The 2,011-nt window shown below is 38.5% G+C and overlaps 1 annotated feature.

Annotated features, from left to right (window-relative positions):
* Positions 1,107-1,289: a silencer, noted in NCBI's record as "fragment chr8:112735891-112736073 (GRCh37/hg19 assembly coordinates)". NCBI's record gives its function as "represses an EF-1alpha promoter that drives an FKBP-Casp9 reporter gene in an ReSE screen in phorbol 12-myristate 13-acetate-treated (for megakaryocytic differentiation) K562 erythroleukemia cells {active_cell/tissue: K562(+PMA)}" and the evidence as "EXISTENCE:reporter gene assay evidence [ECO:0000049][PMID:32094911]".

A 2,011-nucleotide genomic window follows, 5' to 3' on the forward strand; every position in this document is an offset into this window, starting at 1 on the left:
TCCAAACCTTTATTCTCTGCTTCCCTTTTGGACATTAGTTTCAATTTCAAACTATCTCTTTGTGAGTGCATATAACTGAATACTTTCATAATAAGCCAGGTCACATCTTGAATGCTTTGCTACTAAGAAACTTCTTCCACCAGATACCCCTAATTCATCTCTGTCAAGTTCAAAGTTCCAAAGATCCCTAGGGCAGGGGCAAAATGCCACCAGTCTCTTTGCTAAAGCATAGCATGAGTGTCCTTTGCTCCAGTTCCCAATAAGTTCCTCATCTCCATCTGCAACCACCTCAGCCTGGACTTCATTGTCCATCGGCATTTTGGTCAAAATCATTCAACAGGTCTCTAGGAAGTTCCAAACTTCTACATGTCTTCCTGTCTTCTTCTGATCCCACCAAACTGTTCCAACCTTTGCTTGTCACCCAGTTCCAAAATTGCTTTCACATTTTCAGGTCATCTTTATGAGAGTATCTCACTCTGCTGATAACAGTTCTCTGTATTAGTCTGTTCTCACACTGCTATAAAGATACTACCTGAGACTGGGTAACTGATGTACAAAAGAGCTTTAACTGACTCACAGTTCTGCGTGGCTGGGGAGGCCTCAGGAAACTTGCAATCATGGCACAAGGCTAAGAAGAAGCAGACACCTTCTTCACAACACAGAAGGAGAGAGACCTAGCAGGGGAAATGCCAGACACTTACCAAATAACCAGATCTCATGAGAACTCCCCTCACTATCACAAAAACAGCATGAGAGAAACCACCCCTATGATCCAATCATCGTCCACCCAGTCCCTCCCTTAACATGCGGGAATTACAATTCAAGATGAGATTTGGGTGGGGACACAGAGCAAAACCATATAATCTTCTATTAAAACTACACTGTCTTGGCCAGGCATGGTGGCTCACACCTGTAATCCCAGCACTTTGGGAGGCCGAGGTGGGCAGATCACAAGGTCAGGAGATCGAGACCATCCTGGCTAACACGGTGAAACCCCATCTCTACTAAAAATACAAAAACTTAGTCTGGCACGGTGGTGGGTGTCTGTAGTCTCAGCTACTCGGGAGGCTGAGGCAGGAGAATGGCATGAACCCAGGAGGTGGAGCTTGCAGTAAGCCGAGATCACGCCACTGCACTCCAGCCTGGGTGACAGACCGAGACTCCATCTCAAAAAAAAAACAAAAAACAAAAAAAAACCCAAAAAACTACACTGTCTCAATTATTATAATCTTAAAATAAGCCATGATGTATGGCAGAGGAAATTCAGCTAACTTTTTCTTTATTCAAGATTTTATTGGCTTTTCTTAGCCCGTTGCATTTCCATATAAACTTTTCAATCATCTTATTTATTTATAATAAATACTTCCTGACATTATGAATGAAATCGTTTTATATCTATGAATTAATTTTGGAGACCTTATTAATATAATATCAAATTTTGAATTCATTGAAACCAGGATATGGTATAACCTTCTATTTATTAAGTTAATTACTTTTTGAATATTATATTTTATGGTTTATTTGGAAAAGTTCTTGCACATATTTTATTATATGTTTTAATGCTATTTTAAATTGCTCTCTTTTAAAATTGTGTTTTTTGTCTGTGCCTTACATATAGAAATAAAATTGGTATTTCCAAACTGACCTTAACTAATTCACTCACTAATTCTAATAGTTTATTTGTAGTCTCAGATAGTATAGGAATGGAAAAAGTACAGAAATAGCTCAACAATTCACAATGTAAAAGTTTACACAGACCTATATGAATTATTACTATGTGCCCAGCACCATAATTAATGTCTTGATTTTCTCCTTGCACTCTAGGAATAGCAGTGGCATACTTGTCATTGTCTTAGTGTTCCAACATCCATGTTGGCCTGCCCTGTCTGCTCATGTAAACTTCTGCAAGTTATCTGTATTTTATATTGCTTATGATCTTTTCCATTTCTACATGGATAGATGGCCTTTATAAATATAAGCTGAGCCTTTTACAAATATAGTCCATCTACTT

The sequence above is a fragment of the Homo sapiens genome, chromosome 8 (assembly GCF_000001405.40).
Source record: "Homo sapiens chromosome 8, GRCh38.p14 Primary Assembly".
NCBI lineage: Eukaryota > Metazoa > Chordata > Mammalia > Primates > Hominidae > Homo > Homo sapiens.